This window comes from Homo sapiens, chromosome 11 (assembly GCF_000001405.40).
Source record: "Homo sapiens chromosome 11, GRCh38.p14 Primary Assembly".
Taxonomy (NCBI): Eukaryota; Metazoa; Chordata; class Mammalia; order Primates; family Hominidae; genus Homo; species Homo sapiens.
Genome location: NC_000011.10, coordinates 76,424,348 through 76,425,194, shown reverse-complemented (window position 1 = coordinate 76,425,194; position 847 = coordinate 76,424,348). Strand labels below are relative to the sequence as shown.

At 44.7% G+C, this 847-nt stretch overlaps 1 annotated feature.

Moving 5' to 3' along the window:
• Positions 326-415: an enhancer, noted in NCBI's record as "active region_5288". NCBI's record gives its function as "activates an Ori minimal core promoter by ATAC-STARR-seq in GM12878 lymphoblastoid cells {active_cell/tissue: GM12878}" and the evidence as "EXISTENCE:reporter gene assay evidence [ECO:0000049][PMID:35858748]".

Sequence of the window (847 nt, the reverse complement as noted above, 5' to 3'; positions counted from 1 at the left end):
CTCATCAGACTATCAAGCTGGTAGTAGAACCCAGTACTAACATATTAAGGCAGTGAGACCCATCTCTGTGTCTGTCACACTCTCGGCACCCTGCAAAATCAGGCCCCAGACACCCTCACCTCATCCACAGCTCATATCTTAAACCATTCACCACATTTCACTTTCGAACCTGTTTTAATTATCCTGATTCCTGAATCCTGAGCTTGACCTCTGTTTATGACCTGCTATCACCTCTTAGACCATCAAATGTTCAGGCTTCTGGCTATCTTATTTGAATTTTCATTTTTCCCATCTGATTAAATACTTTCTCTTTCTTGGCATATTTCTTACCCCATACCCTAGGTTCTCAGGTCAGAGACTATGAAAGTCCCTGCCCTCGGGGAGTACTCAAACTGGTGAACAACAGACAAGGCGACCAGCAATTCCAGGATGGTGTGGTAAGAGATCTGGTTGAAATAAGTTTAGGGTACTATGGAAGTATAGAAAGAATGAAGAGCACCTAAACTTAGAAAGAGAAGGGTAATTGTCAAAAGGAAGTGTGGATTGATCTGAGTAATGAGAAACTGCATAGGGGATTCCCAGGCAGAGAAAGGGAGAATATGCATTGTAGACAGAGACCAGCAATGCAGAGGTATGAAGACAGGAGAGATCAGGGTGTGGCACCGCAGGTGGGTTGGTGTGGTGAGAAGAGTGTGAACGTGCCGTTGAGAAGTGGGGGGAAATGAACAAATGTCAGGTGGTGGATGGCTTGAGTTCCAAGCTAATGAACTTAGACCTGACACTGTAGGACAGAGGTGGTAAATTATCAGGATTTGGCCCAGAGATGTGCTTTGTTTGCCCCACATAA